At 43.4% G+C, this 23,551-nt stretch overlaps 1 annotated feature.

Annotated features, from left to right (window-relative positions):
- Positions 18,362 to 19,205: an enhancer, noted in NCBI's record as "OCT4-NANOG-H3K27ac-H3K4me1 hESC enhancer chr6:21327213-21328056 (GRCh37/hg19 assembly coordinates)". NCBI's record gives its function as "activates a minimal SCP1, AML or CMV promoter by ChIP-STARR-seq in naive H9 embryonic stem cells {active_cell/tissue: H9 hESC(naive)}" and the evidence as "EXISTENCE:reporter gene assay evidence [ECO:0000049][PMID:30033119]".

A 23,551-nucleotide genomic window follows, 5' to 3' on the forward strand; every position in this document is an offset into this window, starting at 1 on the left:
CAGATTCCAGATGCTTTAAAGGCTTCTGAAGTCCCCATGTGGGCTGTATTGGTTTAGCAAGATTTCCAAACATTTTCTCAACTTTATTAGGGTTTTGCAAGTACATTACTTTCATTTGTTTTCACAAATACGACATGCAACGTAAGAAACGCTCTTGTGACTTCTCTTCAAATAGTGCCTCTCTTAACTTCCTCTGAGTTACTTATTGCAATGCTAAATGACTGCAGCATTCTGCAGACAGCAGAGACCCGAAGAAGAGTGAGCTTTTCTCTTGGCCCACACAGATTTTATGCAGGGAACGTGCAGATATATGTACCAACATGCAGACACACTACTACTTGGGGGCTGAGCTATAGGATGCTGACAGCAAGGCTCCAAACCAGAGAATCTGTCCTCAGTTACCAGAAAGCAAATCAAAAGCTATCAGAAACGCTTCTGATGTACACCTCCGGGATGTACAAAAGCCCCTCCATGGGGGTCTCTCTTCTCTGTGCTTTCTCCTTCGCCCCACTCCCCTTTCCACACTGCCTTTCCCCCTTATAGTCCCTCCTCATCTTTTCGTTTCATTTTTTTATTTTTTGAAACAGAGTCTCACTCTGTCACCCAGGCTGGAGTGTGGTGGCGCGATCTCAACTCACAGCAACCTCTACCTCCCGGGTTCAAGCAATTCTCGTGCCTCAGCCTCCCAAGTAGCTGGGATTACAGGTGCGTGCCACCATGCCGGGCTAATTGTGTATTTTTAGTAGAGACAGGGTTTCACCACATTGGCCAGGCTGGTCTCGAACTCCTGACCTCAAGTGATCCACCGGCCTCAGCCTCCCAAAGTGCCGAGATTATAGGCGTGAGCCACTGTGCCCAGCCTATCTCCTTACCTCTTCTCACCTCTTCTTTCTCTGCTCCCTTGCTGTCTCTCATCTATCCCTGTTGGGGAAAAACCTGAGGACGTAATTACTATACATGTAATGTATCATCTATGTGGTACCTACTGTTTGCTGTTTGGACATACATGAAAATTATATATATCGCTTGATTGTATGGTGAAAAGCTTCCTAGTTCTGGTTTTTAATTTTAAAATAGGTGAGCTAAATATTTTCTATTTCCCACTCTCTCAAAAGCCTGTTTCCCCATTTTGCTTTGATTTTAATTTGTATGCAAGTCTTCCTATTTTTTTTTCTTTCTGAGAATCAATGCCCCTGCCCTCTCCCCGCTGCCTTTCAGCTTCCAGTCTGAGCGGGAGGAGGGGGCACATTGAGATGAATGTGCAGAGGGTGCATCTGGGGAGCAGGGAAACTGGGTCACAAAGAGCAGGGTCCTTTCACCTTTGCACTTTTCCCAGCTTGGGCTTTGGACCAAAAGCTTTATTGAAAACAGAAGCTGCATTTTTCCCCGACAAATTTCGAAAGCGATCTTTCCGCTTTACTGAGGTGCTTTGCTGTCAGCCACACTCATTTTTCAGGGGCAGCCTGAGTTGCTAGCTCAGGGCACGGTGCCGGGGAGCCTTCCCCGAGCTGTACTCAGTCTCTCTTGTCACTGCAAATGAACCAGAAAATTCTCTGAAGCGACGGGACCCAGCAGATAGAGGCTTGATTTCTTTTGTGTGCCCATGTGTGCTATGCATAAGAAATCATTATCTTTCCTTAGACTGAGGTCATTTTCTACCCTCTTTTACTACGGAGCTATCAATTTAATTATTTGGTCACTGCTGCTTTAATTAAAAAGCCTTTACTTATCTTTAGAGGTTTCCTCTTTAAATTTCTAGAGATTAGGATTATCCACAGCATGTCATCTCTTTTTATGTCCATATACTATATGGTTTCTATAATAATATAAAAATGAATTACCAAGATACTAGAAGCTAATCATATTCTTCATTTCTCTCCTAATAATCCCAGATTACATTAATCATAAATGTCAGCAGCGTCTCTAGATGACTTCTTGACTTTTGACAAAAAGCCTTCATTTTGGCCCTTTAAATTCCAAGGTCAAGGAGAATGTAACATTCAGAATAATTATTAGCATTATTTTACCTTGACATTTCATCCCTGCTTCCAGTTTAACATTCCACCCAGGCAAGGAAGACGAACGTCACCTTTCGTTCAATTCACTGGAGGGAATTGCCCCAATTAAACCTGACTTAGAGGCTGTTGGAAACGCTGTATTAATTTGCTGCTCTTCTTTAAAATAGAAAATATTTCATGAAGGAGAAGAATTTTCATTAAAAGCATTAAGGATTTACCATGACATGAACAAGCAATTTTTGAACTGACTTTTTTCTCCCTGGGCTAGAATAATAATCAACCGTCTGCCTCGGCCGGGCCATGGTCTCGCTGTCGGTGGCCCTTCCATCGGGACGAGCCTCCTTATTTTCCTTTTAGCTCAAAGGTCATCGTTACAGTTTTGTCACATCAAAAACGATTAGAAGTGTCTTTTAGAAATCTTGGCCTTTCCATGTCACAGGGCCTCCTGCAGATACAACCTTTTGATTACACCTTCTTCCCCTGCAATCTCCACACACACTTCTTTTTTTTTTAAGACAGGATCTTACTCTGTCACCCAGGCTGGAGTGCAGTGATGTGATCACAGCTCACTGCAGCCTCAAACTTCTGGGCTCAAGCCATCCTCCCGCCTTGCCTCCTGAAGTACCTGGGAATACAGGCCCATGCCACCATGCCTGGGTAACTTTTGTTATTTTTTATAGGGTTGGGATTTCACTATGTTGCCAGGCTGATCTTGAACCCCTGGGCTCAAGCAAGCCTCCTGCCTCGGCCTCCCAAAGTACTGGGATTGCAGGCATGAGCCACTGTGCCCGGCCCCCACACACACTTTTAAAAACAATGTCAAGCTAAGCTTATGGGAGCACGTTCTAAAAATCCTCTAATCCTACATTTGCTATAGTATTTAGGATGGGAATGGTGAGCTGCTTTCTAGAACACAGGAAGATGGAGACCTTATCAGACTTGTTCATTGTATCTCTGGCTCCTGAAACAGAAGCAGGTTGACACTCAATATATGTATTTCCTCATTGTTTAAGGAGTGATCAACAAATATTTTTTATGTGAATGTAAAGGGGCCATAAAACACAGGGACTGAGATTGTGGGCCCTGGAATCAAACAGGCTGGGGTTTGATCTCAGTTTTGCCAACTACGGGCTTTGTGTTATTGGCAAGTTATCTTACCTTTTTACACCTGTTTCTTTGTCTTTAACATGGGGGTTATAGTACTGATGTCACTGGGTTGTTGCAAGGACTAGATGAGATAATGCATGTAAGTAAAGTGCTTTGTTCTGGGCCTGACAACTGTTAAGGCCTCTCCAACTAGTCAGAGATGGCTCAGGGCTAATCCCACCTCCCTACTCCCCTTCTGCCTTCTCCAGGTAGTTGCCCTTGGATGCAAGGAAAACTGTGAACACCCATGGCCCAGTTGGTTTGGGACCTCTACTAAATTGCAGTCATTCATTTTCCAAGTATCAGTTGTGAAGTTGTAGGAATTCAGCCTCCTCCCTAGAATTCTAAGGCAAAATTCCTCACCCAGTCCTTCTTGACAGAATGGAATTCCTATTCTGGCAACCACTCTTGGCTTATTCCAGGAGCAAGTTTGAACCTTGGATGCCTGTCTGTTTGGACTGCATTTCCAGACCTAGCTCACCTGAGTCTCACCTACACCACGCCTTGCCTTTCCGCTGACCTTGGCAGTGTCCCCTCCACTCACAACATTGTTGTCCTCTTTGCCTGTATTAACCTGCCTGATCTCCCAATTCCTGTGACTGGCGGCCTGACGTGGGATACATCCATTCCCCTGCAGTCTGGCCTGGCTCTTGGTTTCAACCCTTTATAGTTGTCCTTTCTTACTGCCACCTGCCTCTTGGCACTCTTTGATGTCTTTACCTGAACAAAATTAATGTCACCTTGTATTTGAGCATGTCCTAATGTGGAGTGTTCTTTACAGCATGGAGCATTTCTTCCCTAATGCTATTTTCTCAGATAAATAAACAACCTGAAAAAAGCAGAGAATAAAATAGTCCTCGCCAAGGGCACTTAACAAATGTTGACATTTAGCTGTATTTGCTTCGTATTGTAAAAGAACTGAATGTAAAAAATACAGTTGAATCTCCTTTCTGGGTCTCTTCTTGATACCATTTCCCTCCTTTTCTCCCTCCTTGGAAGGAAGCTATATGCTAAAGTGGGCCTTTTTCTTCCCATTCACGTTTTTGTGCTCTCACTATGCATTTATATGTCTTCAGAATTTGTATATAATTTGAAATGTTACCTGTGATACTGTATGTATCTGTTATGGGTTGAATTGTATCATTCTCTCCCCCAACCACAAATTCATATGTTGGATCCATATGTTCACAAATTCATATGTTGAAATCCTAACCCCCAGGGCATCAAAATATAAGCTTATTTGGAAAAAGGACCATTGCAAATGTAATCAGGTAGGTTATGATGTGGTGATACTGGAATGGGGTGGGGGGGTCCCTGTGACTGGTATCCTTATATAAAGAATGCCCCGTGAAGAGACAGAGATGTACAGAGGGAAGATGATGTGGAGACACAGGGAGAAGACAGCCTTTGATGAGCCAAGGAACGCCTGCGAAGTTGCTTTCTTTTTCTCACAGTTATGCTTTCTAGATTTAGCCATGTTGGGCGTAGCAGCCCACCACCCTCATTTTAAATAGCAAATGTAGGGTGAGAAGCTTTTTTTAAGAACGTACCTCAACAACACACACAGCTCTACTTTATGCTTTCATTCAGTAAAAATGCATTGAGCACCGGCGATGTGCCAGGCCCTGGGGGGAGAGCAGAGAGGGCCAGTGAGCCAAGGGGAAAGCCTAGCTAGGAATTAGGAAGGTGACCAGGGGATTTGAACACCATGCCAGTGAGGAAGGGGAGAGGATAGTGTTTGATGGCATGAGCATCTAAGCTGGTAGCTTCCGGGGAGGAGGGAGGAACTATCGTTTGGAGGTGTCAGGATCTGCAGTTGCTGGGAAGCAAATTCCTTTATTGCAATGCTTCTCACATTTCTGCAACCATCACAATCCCCTGGAGGGCCTCTTGAAACACAAGCCCCATTGGGCTTAACTCCCAGGGTTTCTGATTCAGGAGGTCTGGGATGGGGCCTGAGAATGTGCATTTTTAACAATTGCTTAGATAATGCTGATTGCTGGTCCAGGGAACACACTTTGAAAACCATCAGTCTATTGCATTCAATGACTCTATTGTCTTTTTTTTTTTTTTTTTTTTTGAGATGGGATGATCTCTAAATCTGTCTAAATCTCTTCTAGAGACAGTTGGAGTGCGGTGGTGTGTCATAGCTCACTGCAGTCTTGAATTCCTGGGCTCAAGTGCTACTGTCACCTTGGCCTTAAAAGTAGCTAGGATTACAGGTGCTCACCACCATGCCTGGCTAATTTTTTCTCTAGAAACAGGGTCTCACTATGTTGCCTAGGCTGGTCTTGAACTCCTGAGCTCAAGCCATCCTCCCGCCTCAGCTTCCCAAAGTGCTGGGATTATAGGCGTGAGCCACTGTGCCTGGCCATCCCACCTAAGACTTGATAAGTGGTAAGATTTCTTATGCTTTGGTGCTGCCTCTCTAGGCCTATGTCTAGGGTTTTTGTTGGCCCCTGATATGGAATGAATTGTATCCTCCCGAAAATTTGTTTGTGGGAGTCCTAACCCTGACTACCTCAGAATATGTGGCTGTATTTGGAAATAGGGTATAAAGGTAGGCCCTAATCCGATGTGACTGATGTCCTTACATGAAGAAAAAGAGCCACCAGGGATGTGCAGGTGCACAGGAAAGGCTGTGTTTTGTGAGGACACCTCGAGAAGGTGGCCATCGGCAAGCCAAGGACTGAGGCCGCAGGAGAAACCAAACCTGCCCACACCTTGATCTCAGACTTTCAGCCTCCCGAACTGTGAGAAAATAAATTTCTGTCATCTGAGCCACCCAGTCTGTGGTATTTTTTTATGGCAGCCCTAGCAAACCAATACAGCTCCTTTTTGGAACTTCACCCTTCCATCACCTTCCATAGGCAAAGGCTTGGCCTCCATGAGCTCCGGAAACTCGTTGCTCTGCGTCTAAGAACTCTGGAAACCCAGTGGAAACCCAAAGGGCGGCTTCTCCACTCACTTCTGCTCACTCTTCTGGCTTTAGTTTCTTTCATTTCTGGCACCTTCAGTTTCCCTTATTTTCTTTCAAACTAAGCTCTCCCTCTATATTTTTAAATGTTATATTTTATCCCCTGTGTGGGTGTCTTTGGAACTGGAAGAAGCCAGCCCACATCAGGTTCATTTGCCATGTTGCTGGGGGTTCCACACTACATTCTTAAATCTATCGAGCACTTTCTTGCATCCAGTTTGATTCACATTCCTTCTGATGATTTTTATAAGACAGTATGACCTCCCTCACATTACAGATGGAAAACGAAAGCTCAGAGTGTTCAAGTGATTTGCCCAGTGTTGCATAGCTAATAAATAATGAAACTTGTCCTGGAACCTAACACCAGTTCTTCCTCCACTCCACCGTGGCACCTATTACAACCCAAGTACAATGACAATATAAGAAAGAGGCCGGGCGTGGTGGCTCATGCCTGTAATCCCAGCACTTTGGGAGGCCGAGATAGGTGGATCACTTGAGCCCAGGAGTTCAAGACCAGCCTGGGCAACATGGTGAAATCCCTGTCTCTACCAAAAAAAATTAAAATTAGCCAAGCATGGTGGTGCGTGCCTGTAGTCCCAGATACTCAGGAGGCTGAGGTGGGAGGATCGCTTGAAGGCAGGAGGCAGAGGTTGCAGTGAGCCAAGATCATGCCACTGTACTCCAGCCTAGGCAAAGGAGTGAGACCCTGCCTAAAACAAAAGAAAAATTTTTTTTTTTTAAAAAAAAAAAGGTCTAAGAAAGAGTAATATTATAGCTCTATAGGATATAACTTTATAAAAATGCCATAGAATATGCTTGAAAACTCTCCAAATTTCAGGAAACACTGCTAAAATTCTTCCAAGTAAAGCTGTGAGATGCTGTCAGGAACATCCACATTTGACTGTTTCTCTTCCCTGGATCTAAAAGCACCTTATGAGAACCCATGAAAAGTTTCTCTTCCACACCATCCATGCCATCAATCCTAAAAGACAGATTTTCATCTCTGTTTATGCCTGAATTTAGCAGACATTCTCTCTATTTTCTTCTAGTAGATTCTAGTGCCAGCATCCAAAGGGTTTTCCTCCTTAGAATATAATCTTGGAGACTTTAAAGTGCCATGTGTATTATGGAATGAAGACTATGGAAATATAACTTATCCTTTTGGATGTAGATTTCAGGTACTTAGCTTAGAGATAGATTTGAAGGTGAGTTTGCTTCTCCTCACTAGCTTGGATATCAGGAAAGTTCTTTCTGGAGATGAACTGTGCCTCTTTGATGCATCATTTTCTCATGACCTAACTCCAATTTAGAATCAGAGTTTTAGAATCTAGAGTGACTTGCTGCTCTAGAATCTATCATCAAGATCTTTTGTCTTGTCTTCATCCCCGCTCCCAAGCCTGGGTCAAGGAAGTTGCATACACTCTTTCCATCTGTGAGTTCTAGAAGGACCCTCTAATTTCCCTTAGACTCCTGTCCTGAGTCCATACCATTCCCATTCACCCCCAGCTCTTTTTGTCTTAATTCAGGTGTGCTCACCTCTTGCCAACACCCTTCAGTCACTGCCTTTCCTGAAACTCATTTTTTTCTTGGTCTCCAGAGAGCAGTAGCCAATTCACTTTTGACTCTCAGTAGCTGCTTGTCTTTCTCCCTTCACGTCAGCTGTCAGAGGGCCTTCAGGAAAATGTGTGGCCCAGCCCTTGCAATGTACTGGACCTTATCATATGTGTTTTATATACTAAAGTTACAGACTTTATTCTACTGTTGACTACGGGCCTTTTTTATTCTGTCCAAAGCAATTGTCAGATTGACTTGGAAAATTTTCCAATTCAAAAGCCTGCTTTAAAGAATAGCTAAGGTCATTACATTTTGCTTAATTTTTTGAAGTACTTTTTAATTTTCATTTAGTAATACACAAACTTATTTTAAGAAACAACTTGTTGCCTGTAATCCCAGCACTTTGGGAGGCTGAGGTGGGCGGATCACTTGAGGCCAGGAGTTCGAGACCAGCCTGGCCAATATGTTGAAACCCCATCTCTACTAAAATTACAAAAAATAAAATAAAATAGCTGGGCATGGTTGCAGATGCCTGTAGTCCCAGCTACTCAGGAGGCTGAGGCATGAGAATTGCTTGAACCCAGGAGGTGGAGGTTGAGATGAACCAAGATCATGCTACTGCATTCCAGCCTGGGCAACAGATCGAGATTCTGTCGCAAAACAACAACAACAACAACAACAACAACAACAACAACAACAACTTGTTAATGGGGAGTCATTTCACGGGCATAGTTTTTACTCTGCAAGATGAAAAAGTTGTAGAGATTGTTTGCACAATAGTGTGAAGATACCTGACAGTATTGAACTGTACACTTAAGAATGGTTAAGGTAGTACATTTTATGTTATGTGTATTTTACCACAATTTTAAAAACAGACGTGCTTCAGATTTTATATGTTTGTAAGAGCTGTCCAACTAATTTCTGAAACCAGCCTACTTACAAATATATATACATATATATATATGGTGTATATATACATATATATATGGTGCCCACATTTCCACCATTTCATTGCATCCTTCTGATATTGGCATAGAAATTCCACCTTTGCTTCTAGATGCAGAAGTAGTTTTTGTGGACACAAAGGTAAAATTACAGTGTGTTTTTCAGACAGAAGAGTTCTTACTGTCACACATTTGAGCACTGCTTCATAGTTGACCTTTCAGTGACCCGAAGTTACCTGTCCAGACAGACGTCTGTGCTCAGAGCCCGACGGCTCCTGGGTACCCAGATGATCACATTACAGTAGTAACCCCCTGTCCATGTTCTCAGGGATGTTACACTGTAGATAATCATGGAAAAGAAAGTTTACTTCTTTGGAGTATCCTCCAGCTCTGTTTTCTTGTAATTTATTAACTGTGAGAAAACAAGGTTGGGGTGAAAGCCCACGTGGTCTTGTCAGCACAAAAGGCATTTTTCAACAAAACTGTGCTGGAAGCATCACGCTGACAAGAAGTCGTGGGGATATTATCAAAGCAACTTTGAGATGTGGTCTCTTCTAGGGGGCAAAAGGATATACTTCCTCCTGTCGAGCGCTCTCCGATTACTACCTCTGGCTTCACTGTGTTGCTTATAGGCTACTCAGACACACAGATGGCCTCAGCGATGCCAGGAATCTGTTTAATTGTCTAACACGGTTTAAAGTTTTTCGGGAGATTCAGGTGATTATTTCAAACAGCAGGAATTACTTTTAAAATGGTTGGCGGCGGGGGCACCGTGGTGAAAAAAAAAGTCAGAAACGTACAACACTTGGATCATTTTTGAAGTGCATCTATTTTTGTTTTCTGTCTGAGACCAAAATGCTCCCGGCATAGTCTGTCCCTGAAACGATAAATATCTTAAGTCACGAAGTCTAAAAGGAGGCAGGGGGCCCAGTGCACTAGGAACCAAGGCGGGAAACAGAAAGCCCAGTTAGAATATTTGCCCGGGACGACTTCAGTAAATGAAGCCTTGGACAAAAGAGAACTTTTTTTCATATGGGAAAAAACCTGGGTATCTATCGATTTCCCTTTCTTCACAGTAATGTTTGGCTCTGACAGTAGCTTTGCAGCTTTGAGACGCTGTGAGTTTTCTGCATCTGCACATTAATGTTCTCAGAGTTTTGTCTAAGAACAGCAAAAACATCTGAGTAATTGCTCTGAAGGACTTCAGCTTCTCAAATGGACTTTAAAGGTCTATCGAGGTCGGGCATAGTGGCTCGCACCTGTAATCCCAGCACTTTGGAAGGCTGAAGCCAGCGGATCACTTGAGGTCAGGAGTTCAAGACCAGCCTGGCCAACATGGTGAAACCCCATCTCTACAGAAAATACAAAAATTAGCCGGGCATGGTGGCGTGTGCCTGTAATCCCAGCTACTCAGGAGGCTGAGGCAGAATTGCTTGGAGGCAGAGGTTGCAGAGAGCCAAGATTGCACCACTGTATTCCAGCCTGGATGACTAAGATTCCATCAAATAATAATAATAATAATAATAATAATAATAAAGGTCTATCAGGTAACTAGGATTTCTTGTGTTTCCATCCTTACTTATGTGCATTGGGGCGGAATCAGCAGATGAAGCCACTATACCCAAGATGCGTTTTCAAATTTACCTCTTCTCTCAACCGGATTTCTTTTACACCTATTTGGTGAATCCTTGTTTTTGTGTTTCTGCTCATTTTTGTGGCTCACTTTGAAAAGTTCTAGCACCTAGATGTCTTCAGTTTGCCACATCCATCTGAAGCTACTGTATTAAGCATACAGGGGTTTTGGGTTTTGTTTTGTTTTTTAAAAATCAGTGCTTCTCAGACCTCTTCAAGAAGAACTACAAACCACTGCTCAAGGAAATAAGAGAGGACACAAACAAATGGAAAAACATTCCATGCTCATGGATAGGAAGAATCAATATCGTGAAAATGGCCATACTGCCCAAAGCAATTTATAGATGCAATGCTATCCCCATCAAGCTACTGCTGACTTTCTTCACAGAACTGGAAAAAAACTACTTTAAATTTCGTATGGAACAAAAAAGAACCCACATAGCCAAGACAATCCTGGGCAAGAAGAACGAAGCTGGAGGCATCACGTTACCTGACTTCAAACTATACTACAAGGCTACAGTAATCAAAACAGCATGGTACTGGTACCAAAACAGATATATAGACCAATGGAACAGAACAGAGGCCTCAGAAATAACACCACACAGCTACAACCATCTGATCTTTGACAAATCTGACACACACAAGCAATGGGGAAAAGATTCCCTATTTAATAAATGGTATTGGGAAAACTGGCTAGCCATACGCAGAAAATTGAATCTGGACCCCTTCCTTAAACCTTTTAGAAAAATCAACGCAAGATGGATCAAAGACTTAAACGTAAGACCCAGGACCATAGAAATCCAAGAAGAAAACCTGGGCAATATCATTCAGGACATAGGCATGGGCAAAGACTTCATGTCCAAAACACCAAAAACAATGGCAACAAAAGCCAAAACTGACAAATGGGATCTAATTAAACTAAAGAGCTTCTGCACAGCAAAAGAAACTATCATCAGAGTGAACAGGAAACCTACAGAATGGGAGAAAATGTTTGCAATCTATCCATCTGACAAAGGGCTAATATCCAGAATCTACAAAGAACTTAAACAAATTTACAAGAAAAAAACAAACAACCCCATCAAAAAATGGGCAAATGATATGAACAGACACTTCTCAAAAGAAGACATTTATGCAGCCAACAGACATATGAAAAAATGCTCATCATCACTGGTCATTAGAGAAATGCAAATAAAAACCACAATGAGATACCATCTCATGCCAGTTAGAATGGCGATCATTAAAAAGTCAGGAAAAAACAGATGCTGGAGAGGTTGTGGAAAAAGAGGAATGCTTTTACACTGTTGGTGGGAGTGTAAATTAGTTCAACCATAGTGGAAGACAGCGTGGTGATTCCTGAAGGATCTAGAACTGGAAATACAATTTGATACAGCAATCCCATTACTGGGCATATACCCAAAGGATTATAAATCATTCTAAGATAAAGAGACATGTACACGTATGTTTATTGCGGCACTATTCACAATAGCAAAGACTTGGAACCAACCCAAATGTCCATCAGTGATAGATTGGATAAAGAAAATGTGGCACATATACACCATGGAATACTATGCAGCCATAAATAATGATGAGTTCATGTCCTTTGCAGGGACATGGATGAAGCTGGAAACCATCATTCTCAGCAAACTATCACAAGATCAGAAAACCAAACACCGCATATTCTCACTCATAAGTGAGAGTTGAACAATGAGAACACATGGACACAGGGAGGGGAACATCACATACTGGGGCTTGCCGGGTGGTGGGGGGCTCGGGGAGGGATAACATGGAGGAGAAATACCTAATGTAGATGATGGGTTGATGGGTGCAGCAAACCACCAGGCACGTGTATACCTATGTAACAAAACTGCACGTTCTGCACATGTAACCCAGAACTTAAAGTATATTAAAAAAAAAAAAATCAGTGCTTCTCAATCTCTTTTGCATCCTAGTGTATTAAAAGCAGATAATAATGGGAAATACATTGTCCCATGCACATTTAAGTAGATTAACTCATTTAGTTCTCCTTTAGGTATTATCATCCTGCAGAGAAAGAAACACAGCCAAAGAGGTGTTAAGGAACCTCCCTACAGTCTTATAGCTGGTGAGTGCAAGGCTGGGAGGGGAACCCAGGCCTCACCTTACCCAGCACTATTGGACTCACTATTGTGGCCAGATTAGCAAGAGGCTCTCAAACAAACAAACAAACAAACAAAGAGTCCTATTTGTAGCCATGTCAGCTGATTTCCACAACACTCCCTCTAGGGCTGCTTTTAAGACTCCAGTGAGAGTTCAACTGGCTCCCACACTTCCTGAAAACGAATCATCTGCTTTCAGGGGTGGAGATGAGCTGGCTCCAACACCGTGTCTCTGTATTTTCAGTAGCAACAACTGAGAAGCGTGTGCTGGGTCCAGCTGACTTGACAGATATTCCCGCTTCTGGGTGTCTGGGAGGCTTTCCAGGGATAGCTGGCCGCTTCTGCACCTGTCTCCCTGGTTCCATCACTGGCTCCTGTGTCACTTCTCCTTTGTGGCGGGGATGGATCTTTCATGTCTTTGCAACACTGTGCCAGGGGAGTCAGGAGGGGCCCACTCTCAGGTCCGGTGGAGGACAGGTGGCCATGATGAGGTTCAGAACATACTACCCTAAAATATGACATCTTGGCATTTGAGAAAGTAGCAGAATCAGGAAGGTCTCTCTGACCCTCTCCTGCCCTCCTCCCCTGAAGCAGGCCACAAAAGAATTCTCTGACCTTCTCCTGAAGTGGGTCAGAAGACTGTCATGTAAGAGGTGCGCTTCCTATACCCAGAGGAAAGGAGTGTCCTTATCTCTGAAGACACAAAGCCACAGAGAAACTGAACAAACAGGGCTTGCTAGGTTCACCCCAGTTGATTTCCATTGGATCGTACCCCCTTTTTGTCCAATCTCACTTCTACACAATTGTCCATTCTTCATCAAACATAAAAATGCACAGGTTTCTCTGTTTCTTTGAGTTTCCATTTCTGAAGGCTCCTGTGTCATGTAAAATGTATACAGTATTGAATAAATTTGGTTATGCTTTTATCTTATTAATCTGTCTTGTTTTAGGGATCTCAGCCTGAACCTAGAAAGAAGAAATGTTTTCTCCCCTACAACAGCTTGCTTTGGCAAATAAACAAACACAAGAAAATGGATGGGATATTTTTATTTTCATTTCATTTATTTATTTTTTTGAGACAGAGTCTCACTCTGTCACCCAGGCTGCAGTACAGTGGCATGATCTCAGCTCACTGCAACCTCTGCCTCCCGGGTTCAAGTGATTCTCCTGCATCAGCCTTCCAAGTAGCTGGGATTACAGACGTGCACCACCACACCTGGCTAATTTTTGTATTTTTAGTAGAGATGGGTTTCACCCTGTTGACCAGGCTGGTCTTGAACTCCTGGCCTCAAGTGATCTGCTACCTCAGCCTCCCAAAGTGTTGGGATTATGTTGGGATTACAGGTGTGAGCCACTGTGCCTGGCCAATGGTCTTTTTGAAGGAAGGATGAGCAGAAGGGCTGCATTGATAAAAAGAGGAGGCAATTGAGAACAAATGAGGACCTAGCACCCGACAGTACTAGATTCCCACTTCTCTAGCCGAGGACCTGGACACAATGGGATAACACCCCCACCAAGGGAGGTACAGACAGTTATGGCAAACCAAGTTCCCATACCTAGGTCTCTTGAGAGAGGGAAATTTAATTTTAACACTATTAATAGCAAAATGTATATATACTCCCAAGGCCAAGCTTATTTTCATTGGTTCCTGACCTTGGCTCACAGCAGGGGCCTGGTGGTGCCCTGGCACTGGGCTGCCAGAAAGGTGCAGAGCAGGAAGGGGCACTGGGCTCCCTCTACCAAGGGTCCAGGGAGATCGGCAGGGCTTGGCCTTTTCCATATTTGCACTCAGGCTTCTAGGTTGATTCTCTGGGGACTGATCTTGTGGCATTCACACTGTGCCTCAATACAGCGTTCCTCGAGTTCCCGGCCTGGCTGTGAATTTTGCTTGATGTCCTCGAGTGCCTTAGAAAGAAATTAAATCAACGCTAATGAAATCAGCCCATGAGTTTTCTGAGGAGGAGGAGGGAGGTGACTTGCTTGTGACCACTTCTGTTGAGGTTGCTGTCACGCAGAAAGAGAATTTGGGGGTAAAACATAGGAGAACCAGAGTAGGATGTGCGGATTTTATTATTTTTAATTTAATTTAATTTTATTTTGAAACAGAGTCTCACTCTGTCGCCCAGGCTGGAGTACAATGGCATGATCTCGGCTCACTGCAACCTCTGCCTCCCGGGTTCAAGCAATTCTCCTGCCTCAGCCTCCCGAGTGGCTGGGAATACAGGCACCCGCCACAATGCCAGGCTAATTTTTGTATTTTTAGTAGAGACGGGGTTTCACCATGTCGGCCAGGCTGGTCTCGAACCCCTGACCTCAGATGATCCACCCGCCCCAGCCTCCCAAATTGCTGGGATTACAGGCGTGAGCCACTGCGCCCAGCCAGATGTGTGGATTTTAAATTTCAGTTTTTGTTTTATTGATTCAGGTGGGTTTTCTCGGGGAGTAGGGTTGCTGCGAAGGGGAAGTCTTTCCTGCGCTCTGCCCTCGTCTGCTGCTTCTGTGTTTGCTTGTGAAACTGCTCAAGGTCCCCCTTTCAATTCCGCTCTCTGGATTCCAGTGCTTTTCCAGTTTCAATTTCCACTGAGAAAAAAACCTCATTCCGTGTCATATTACATTAGGGGCAAGAACTGCTTTGGGGGTGTAAGGGGACAAGGCGGGGGGCCTCACCTGAGGCGCAGGCCAGTGAGGCGGGAAATGGCGCTCTCCATCCCAAGACAGGGTCTGCGCCTGCTTCCGGCCTGGTGGACAGCACCTTCATCATCGCCGCCATCGCAGAGCCGCTCGCTGCACTTTCCCCTCTTTCCTGAGGGTTCTCTCCCGGCTCCAGACAGAGTGATTAATGGCCCCTTGGGCCAACTCTAAAAGACTGAGGAGACAAATATACCTCATCCATGGGGAAACAAGCCCCGGGACATATATTATCTAGGAAAAATGAGGTAGCCAATGAGCTATATTGCATTGGGTATTACCAGCTTTATTGTAGAACTTTATTTGGTTAAAAAAAAAGTATGAATATATTCATACATACACACACACATATATACACACACATATATATGGAGACAGGGAAAGAGAGGTCTCTAAATGTGTACTTATAGATTCTTTTTTTTTTTTTTTTTTTTTTTTTTTTTTGAGACAGAGTTTCACTCTTGTTGCCCAGGCTGGAGTGCGGTGGCGCTATCTCAGCTCACGGCAACCTCCGCCTCCCGGGTTCAAGTGATTCTCCTGCCTCAGCCTCCGGAGTAGCTGAGATTACAGTCATGCGCCACCACGCCCGGCTAATTTTGTATTTTTCGTAGAGACGGGGTTTCTCCATGTTAGTCAGGCTGGTCTCAAACTCCCGACTTCAGGTGATCCGCCCGCCTCAGACTCCCAAAGTGCTGGGATTACAGGCGAGAGCCACCACACCCAGCCTTACATATAGATTCTTATATATATGTAATATATATACATATTTATTAAAAACAACAGGAAGCAACCACAAGATATGAGGATATTATTAAGGGATAGCTTTTCTTAGATTCTTTTTCTTTTCTTTTCTTTTTAAGATGGAGTCTCGCTGTGTTGCTCAGGCTGTAGTGCAGTGGCGCGTTCTCGGCTCACTGCAACCTCCATCTCCCGGGTTCAAGCAATTCTCGTGGCTCAGCCTCCTGAGTAGCTGGGATTACAGGCACGCGGCACCACACCGGGCTAATTTTTGTATTTTTAGTAGAGGTGGGGTTTCACCATGTTAGCCAGGCTGGTCTCAAACTCCTGACCTCAAATGATCCACCTACCTAGGCTTCCCAGAGTGCTGGGTGTGAGCCACTGTGCCGGCCTCTTTTTCTTGTTACAAAATGTGGAGAAGACTTAATACAAGTAGGTATAAGCAAAAAAGAAAATAAAAATGATCTGTACTTTTTTATTCACACAAATAAACCACCACGGACAATTTGGTGTGTATCTTTCCAGTTATTTATCTAGGCTTCCAGAAGGGTTTCTTGAAGTGATTAGGATTATATTGTGCATACAGAGTTATAATTGCTTTTTAAAACTTAATATATTGTGAGGATTAAATAAGAAAAAATTACTAAAAAGCTTTTAACACACTTCCTAAAAGTATCTATGAAATTAAAGTTAGCCATTATAGTCCTTATTATTTTCTTTCTGCATCAAATATCATTATTTTATTTTATAACTTCATTTATTAAAACTTCTAGTTTGTTTCCAGTTACCATGTTATAATGAACATTCTTGTGAATAAATTCTCGCACACAATCATTATTATTTCTTTAATATACTGTCATGTATCACTTAATGACAGGGATACCTCCTGAGAAATGCATCATTAGGCAATTTCGTCATTGTGTAAACATCATAGAACGTACTTACACAAACCTCTGGCAGAGCCTACCACACACCTAAGCTGTACAGTACAGTCTATTGCTCCCAGGCTACAAGTCTGCACAGCATGTTACCATACTGAATATTCCAAGCAATTGTAACACATAGGAAGTATTTGTATAGCTAAACATAGAAAAAGTACAGTAAAAATATGATATAAAAGATTAAAAAAAGGTACACCTGTCTAGCATGCTTACCATGAACGGAGCTTGCAGGACGGGAAGTTGCTCTGGGTGAGTTGGTGAGTGGTGAGTGAATGTGAAAGCCTGGGATATTACTGTACACTACTGTAGACTTTAGAAACACTGTACACTTAGGCTACACAAAATTTGTAAAAACAAAAAATTCTTTCTTTCTTCATTCTTTCTCTTCCTTTCTCTCTCTCTTTCCCTTTCTTTCTTTCCTTCCTTCCTTTTCCTTCTTTATTTTTGCGATGGAATCTTGCTTTGTCACCGAATCTTGCTCTGTCACCCAGGCTGGAGTGCAATGGAGCGATCTCAGCTCACTGCCACCTCCACCTCCCAGGTTCAAGCCATTCTCCTACCTCAGCCTCCCGAGTAGCTGGGACTACAGGCGCAAGCCACCACACCTGGCTAATTTTTCTGTATTTTTAGTAGAGACGGGGTTTCACCATGTTGGCCAGGCTGGTGTTGAACTCCTGACCTCAGGTGATCCACCTGCTTTGGCCTCCCAAAGTGCTGGGATTATAGGCGTGAGCCACCGCGCCTGGCCTTCTTTCTTTAGTAATACGTTAACCTTAGCTTACTGTAACTTATTTATTTTATAATCTTTTTAATTTTTTAAACTTTTTGACTCTTTTGTAGTAACACTTAGCTTAAAACACAAACACATTATAAGAAAAATATTTTCTTTCTGTATAACTTTATTCTAGAAGCATTTTTCTATTTTTAAATTTTTTTATTTTTATTTTTTTTTACTTTTTAATCTTTTTTGTTAAAAACGAAGACACATACACATGAGCCTAGTCCTGGACAGAGTCAGGATCATCAATATCACTGTCTTCCTCCTCCACATCTTGTTCATCTGGAATGTCTTCAGGGGCAATAACACACAGGGAGCTGTCATTTACTATAATGACAATGACTTCTTCTAGAATACCTCCTATAGGACCTGCCTAAGGCTGTTTTACAGTTAACTTTTTTTTTTTTTTTTCGAGACAGAGTCTTGCCCTGTTGCCAGGCTGGGGTACAGTGGCATGATCTTAGTTCACGGCAACCTCTGCCTTCCGGGTTCAAGCAATTCCCCTGCCTTAGCCTCCTGAGTAGCTGGGACTACAGTTACGCGCCACCACGCCCAGCTAATTTTTTGTATTTTAGTAGAGACAGGATTTCAACATGTTGGCCAGGATGATCTCGATCTCCCAACCTCGCGATCCACCGGCCTCAGCCTCCCAAAGTGCTGGGATTACAGGCGTGAGCCACCGCGACCGGCCAACTTTTTTTTGTATAAGTAGGAGTACTCTCTAAAATAATAATAAAAAGTATGGTAAATACATAAACCAGCAACATCATCATTTATTCTCATTATCAATTATGTACTGTGCATAATTGTATGTGCTATACTTTTACATGACTGGTGGCACAGTAGGTTTCTTTACATCAGCATCACCACAAACACGTGAGTTATGTCTGTGCTATGACGTTATGATGGCTACGATGTCACTGGGTGGCAGGAATTTTTCAACTGCATTATAATCTTATGGGACCACGGTAGTATATATGGTCCGTTGTTGACTGAAATATTATGTGGAACATGGCTGTAGCTCCTGGAGGAGGATTGCTGTGTTGAAGGATATTCACTCATTTGTTGAAAAACTTTTTATTGAGCATTTACTATTTGCTGCCAACTATCATAGGAACCAGAAATAACAACCAGAGTAGTAAGACACACTTGGTACCTGCCCTGGTGAGTTTATATTCCAGGGAGACAGAAAAGCAAGCAATTGCAGGGAATTCAACACAAAGCAACTTAAAATGGTAAAGAAACATGAAAAGGTGTTCAACGACTCCAGTAGTGAAGGAAATGCAATTAAAATAACAATGAGGTGTCGCTTTACACCTAGTAGGCAGACTAAACAAAGAAGCAACAAATACCAAATGCCAGCCACAGTGTGGATGAGAAGGGTGCTCACGTATTCATCTTGCCGGCTGAAATGTGAAGTGTTGTTACAGCCTTTCAGGAAAGTAATTTGGCCACGTCCATAAAAAATAAAATGCACATATACTTTAACTCAGCACTCCAGGGAATCTATCCCACAGAAATGGTATTTAAGGACATACATTCAACAGTGTTTATTGCAGCTTTGTTCACAGTGGCAAAAAACTGGAAACAAAGAGATCAAAAGATGAATTAGGATACAGCCACACCATGGGAATGTTTATGCATTCATTATTTCTTGTATGATATTATCCCATATATGTGATGAGAAAAGGAAAATAGCTCAAAGCAATCTAAGCTATGTGAGGTATGCAGGCCCAGAGAGATGTGAGTACGGGATATCAGTCAAGCCCCCAACCCCATACCTGGGGGCAATTGTTTAAAGTCATTTTGTTCACGACTAGCTACCTCACCATTATCTTTATGTTTCTGGAATCTGTGGTACAAAGAACGATGCATAGCCAATCAACAGCTTATGTGATTTTAATGTAAATTTTTGGTAAACATCTCGGGAACTGTCTCTTCTTTCCCTTTATGGCTTTTCTTTTTTTAAGACTGAGTTTAGCTCTATCGCCCAGGCTACAGTGCAGTGGCGCAATATCGGCTCACTGCAACCTCCACCTCCCAGGTTCAAGTGATTCTTGTGCCTCAGCCTCCCGAGTAGCTGGGATTACAGGTGTGTGCCACCTTGCCCGGCTAATTTTTTTGTATTTTTAGTAGAGATGGGGTTTCACCATGTTGGCCAGGTGGGTCTCAAACTCCTGACCTCAAGTGATCTGCCCGCCTTAGCCTCCCAAAGTGCTGGCACTTCAGGCATGAGCCACCGTGCCCAGCTGTCTTCTTTCCCTTTAAAAACTCACTTTTGGAGGCTAGGTGCAGTGGCTCACACCTGTAATCCCAGCACTTTGGGAGGCCAAGGCTGGCAGATCACCTGAGGTCGAGAGTTCAAGACCAGCCTGACCAACATGGAGAAACCCCATCTCTACTAAAAATACAAAACTAGCCAGGCATGGTGACACAGGCCTGTAATCCCAGCTACTCGGGAGGCTGAGGCAGGAGAATCACTTGAACCCGGGAGGCAGAGATTGCGGTGAGCCGAGATTGCTCCATTGCACTCCAGCCTGGGCAACAAGAGGGAAACTCTGTCAAAACAAAACAAAACAAAACCAAAACTCACTTTTGGGCTGGGCACAGTGGCTAACACCTGTAATCCCAGCACTTTGGGAGGCCAAGGTGGGCGGATCACCTGAGGTCAGCAGTTCGAGACTAGCCTGGCCAACATGGTGACACCCCCGTGTCTCTACTAAAAATACAAAAATTAGCTGGGCGTAGTGGCAGGCACCTGTAGTCCCAGCTACTTGGGAGGCTGAGGCAGGAGAATCCCTTGAACCCGGGAGGCAGAGGTTGCAGTGAGCTGAGATTGTGCCATACACTCCAGCCTGGGTAACAGAGTGAGACCCTGTCTCAAAAAGAAAAAAGAAAAAAAAAACCTCAATTTTAACTGCTGCTGATGGGAGTGTATAGCAAGGGCGACTTGAATCTATGGTCCCAGGCTGCAATCCTAAAAGGTTGGCCCAAATAAACTCTCTGCTTATATTAATTTTGCCTCAGCTTCTTCCTTATATATGCATAAAGAAATTAGGGAAAAATTAGACTCAGGAATATCCTAATGATGGGTGCAGGAAATACTACCCCGAAATATGGCACCGGGGCATTTGCAAAAACAGCAGAAGCAGGAAGATGTCTCTGACCTTTTCCCTCCCTTTTCCCCTGAAGACCCTCATGTGGCAGATATCCTGTCCTGTGCCTGAAGGAAAAGAATGAACACACAGAGAAGAATCTGAACCAACAAGTCTTACTAAGTTTCCCCCAGTTTATTACCGTTAGGTCACATCCCTTTTTATCCAGCTGTGGCTGCTCATTCAGCTAACCTAAGTATCAAAAAACAGTTTTCTCTGGGTCTTTGGGTCTTCATTTCTGAAGGTTCCTAAGTCAATGTACAAATGCATTTCAATAAATGTGTTATGCTTTTCCCTTCTTAATCTGTTTGTTGTTGTTGTTGTTGTAGTTGTTACAGGGGTCTCAGCCATAAACCTTGCAATGAGTGAGAAAAATATATTACTTTTTCTCTCCTACACTAAATCATCTAATAACATGATACATTATTGAGCAAAAATAAGTAAATAAAGTTAGAGTAATAAAAGTGATATGATTCTCTTTTAGTGGAAAAGAAGCCAGCAAACTCATAAATATATGCATAAGCGTGTATGTTTTTATAAGATCAAGGAGAAATATGTGTAGAGACACGTAGCACAATGTTAATCTAGTTACCATAGGGAGATGGGATCGGGTAGATAATTACCTATTTTCCCCTACACCTTGTATTGTATTACTTCTGTAAAATATCAAATACAGTTAATTTTCACAATCAGCAGTTTTAATAGAGCATGACAAAGACTACAGGGAAGTTGGAGGGTGCTCAAGGAGCTCATAGCAGAAGCACCCAGCATCCTCCCTCTAGTTTCAATCTATATTATCCAACTGAAAGGCTGGATATAGGCCAGACTCTTGTCCAGGAATAAAGAGACCATGCATGGGCATAGGTATGACTAGTCATTGTTTTTATTTATTTATTTATTTTGAGATGGAGTTTCACTCTTGTCGCCCAGGCTGGAGTGCAGTGGCGCGATCTTGGCTGACTGCAACCTCCGCCTCCCGGATTCAAGCAATTCTCCTTCCTTAGCCTCCTGAGTAGCTGGGATTACAGGTGCCCACCACCATGCCCAGCTAATTTTTTGTATTTTTAGTAGAGACGGGGTTTCACCATGTTGGCCAGACTGGTGTTGAACCCCTGACCTCAGGTGATCCGCCATCCTTGGCCTCCCAAAGTGCTGGGATTATAGGCGTGAGCCATGGAGCCCGGCCTAGTCATTGTTTTTAAACTGTGAGGTATTATTCACATCTTGCAGTACTCTGTTGGGCTCACTCCAGTCAATTAAATAATTATAACTTGACCAGGCAAGGTGGCTCACACCTGTAATCCCAGCACTTTGGGAGGCTGAGGTGGGCAGATCACAAGGTCAAGAGATTGAGACCATCCTGGCCAACATGGTGAAATCCCGTCTCTATTAAAAATATAAAAATTAGCTGGGCATGGTGGTGGGCGCCTGTAGTCCCAGCTACCGGGGAGGCTGAGGCAGGAGAATCGCTTGAATCCAGGAGGTGGAGGTTGCAGTGAGCCGAGATCACGCCATTGCATTCCAGCCTGGGCGACAGAGTGAGACGCCCTCTCAAAAAAACAAATAATAATTATAATAATAATTATAACTGGAGCACAGAATTTAACATAGGTTATATGTACTCCAGAAAAAGGTCAACTTTGAACTCTGGAACATTCCACTCTCTGATCTTCAAGTTTTTCATCCATACGGTGTGTACCTTCCCATAATCCACTCATAGAATAGTCAGTAGGATCACATGAGATAAAATCTAGGAAAATGCCTAGCACAAAACCTGGCACAAGGCAAACATTCAAAACATAAAGAACAAAGCAAGGCCAGGTATGAGGGCGCTTTGGGAAGTGAGGGGCATGATACCAAAGCGAGGCCTTACAAAAGGCAGTGCCAGTGTTAGAACCCTCAGGACTCGGCATCCTCATCAGTTCCTGGGTGTGCTTTGTGCATACTAATACTGCAAAAGTTTAACCAAGTTCAAGAAAATGGTATTCATCAGACGGCCAGGAGAATGAGGAACTGGATGAAGTGAAGCTCTTGCTCCAAAGGAATGTCTGGCACAGAGTCCTTGTTTCCAGAACTTTCCAGCGCTGGCAGGTGTGAGATTGTGCAGTCACTGAGCGCCTTGCCAAGGAGATTCGGTGCTAACTGCTGAACATGAAGGGGAAAGTCCCTTGGTGGGCCGTGTGTGCTGTTAAAGGCAAGTCACAGAAGAGGGTACAATAAATACCAGTTCCAAAAACACTTTGCAGGCTTTGGGTCTTGGCCAATTACAGAGGCGGAGTGTTTTGGCCCGCTTCAAAGTATGGGAGAAAAGAGTGATGAGACAAAGCTCATCTCCTAGCATTCCTTTTATAACGTTCTGCGTGCACCAGGGGTCTCATAGCACAAGGTGAAAATATTTGAAAAGAAAGGAAAAGAAAAAAAAAGGACTGGTTTATATTCATAAAGCTGAAGCCTTTGAATATCATCTTTTCCTCCCTGTACCCACCTTAAACACAGTGAGGGTTCCAGCCTTCTTTGGAGTCCAGCTTTAATTATGCTGCACAATTATTCTTGTTGTATGCTTTGACCTTGAGTTAGAGATCTGCTTCCAAACAACTCCCAGTCTCAATTCTTCCTAGTGACAAAATGGAGCTACTGCAGTGGATGATGAATGCATTCACAGGTACCCCACTTACGGAAGGGGAATGAGACAGGGGTGCCCTTGGGTCTGCAGGTCGGCCAAGGTGAAGCGCAAAGGATGTGACTGTGGCCAAACAAATGCAGGCATTTTGGTTCTGAGTTTCGTTTTTCCTGGTCAGCCTCTTTTCCTACCCCTCTTTAATCTGCCCCAATGCTTGATGGCATA

Source organism: Homo sapiens, chromosome 6, assembly GCF_000001405.40.
Source record: "Homo sapiens chromosome 6, GRCh38.p14 Primary Assembly".
Lineage (NCBI taxonomy): Eukaryota > Metazoa > Chordata > Mammalia > Primates > Hominidae > Homo > Homo sapiens.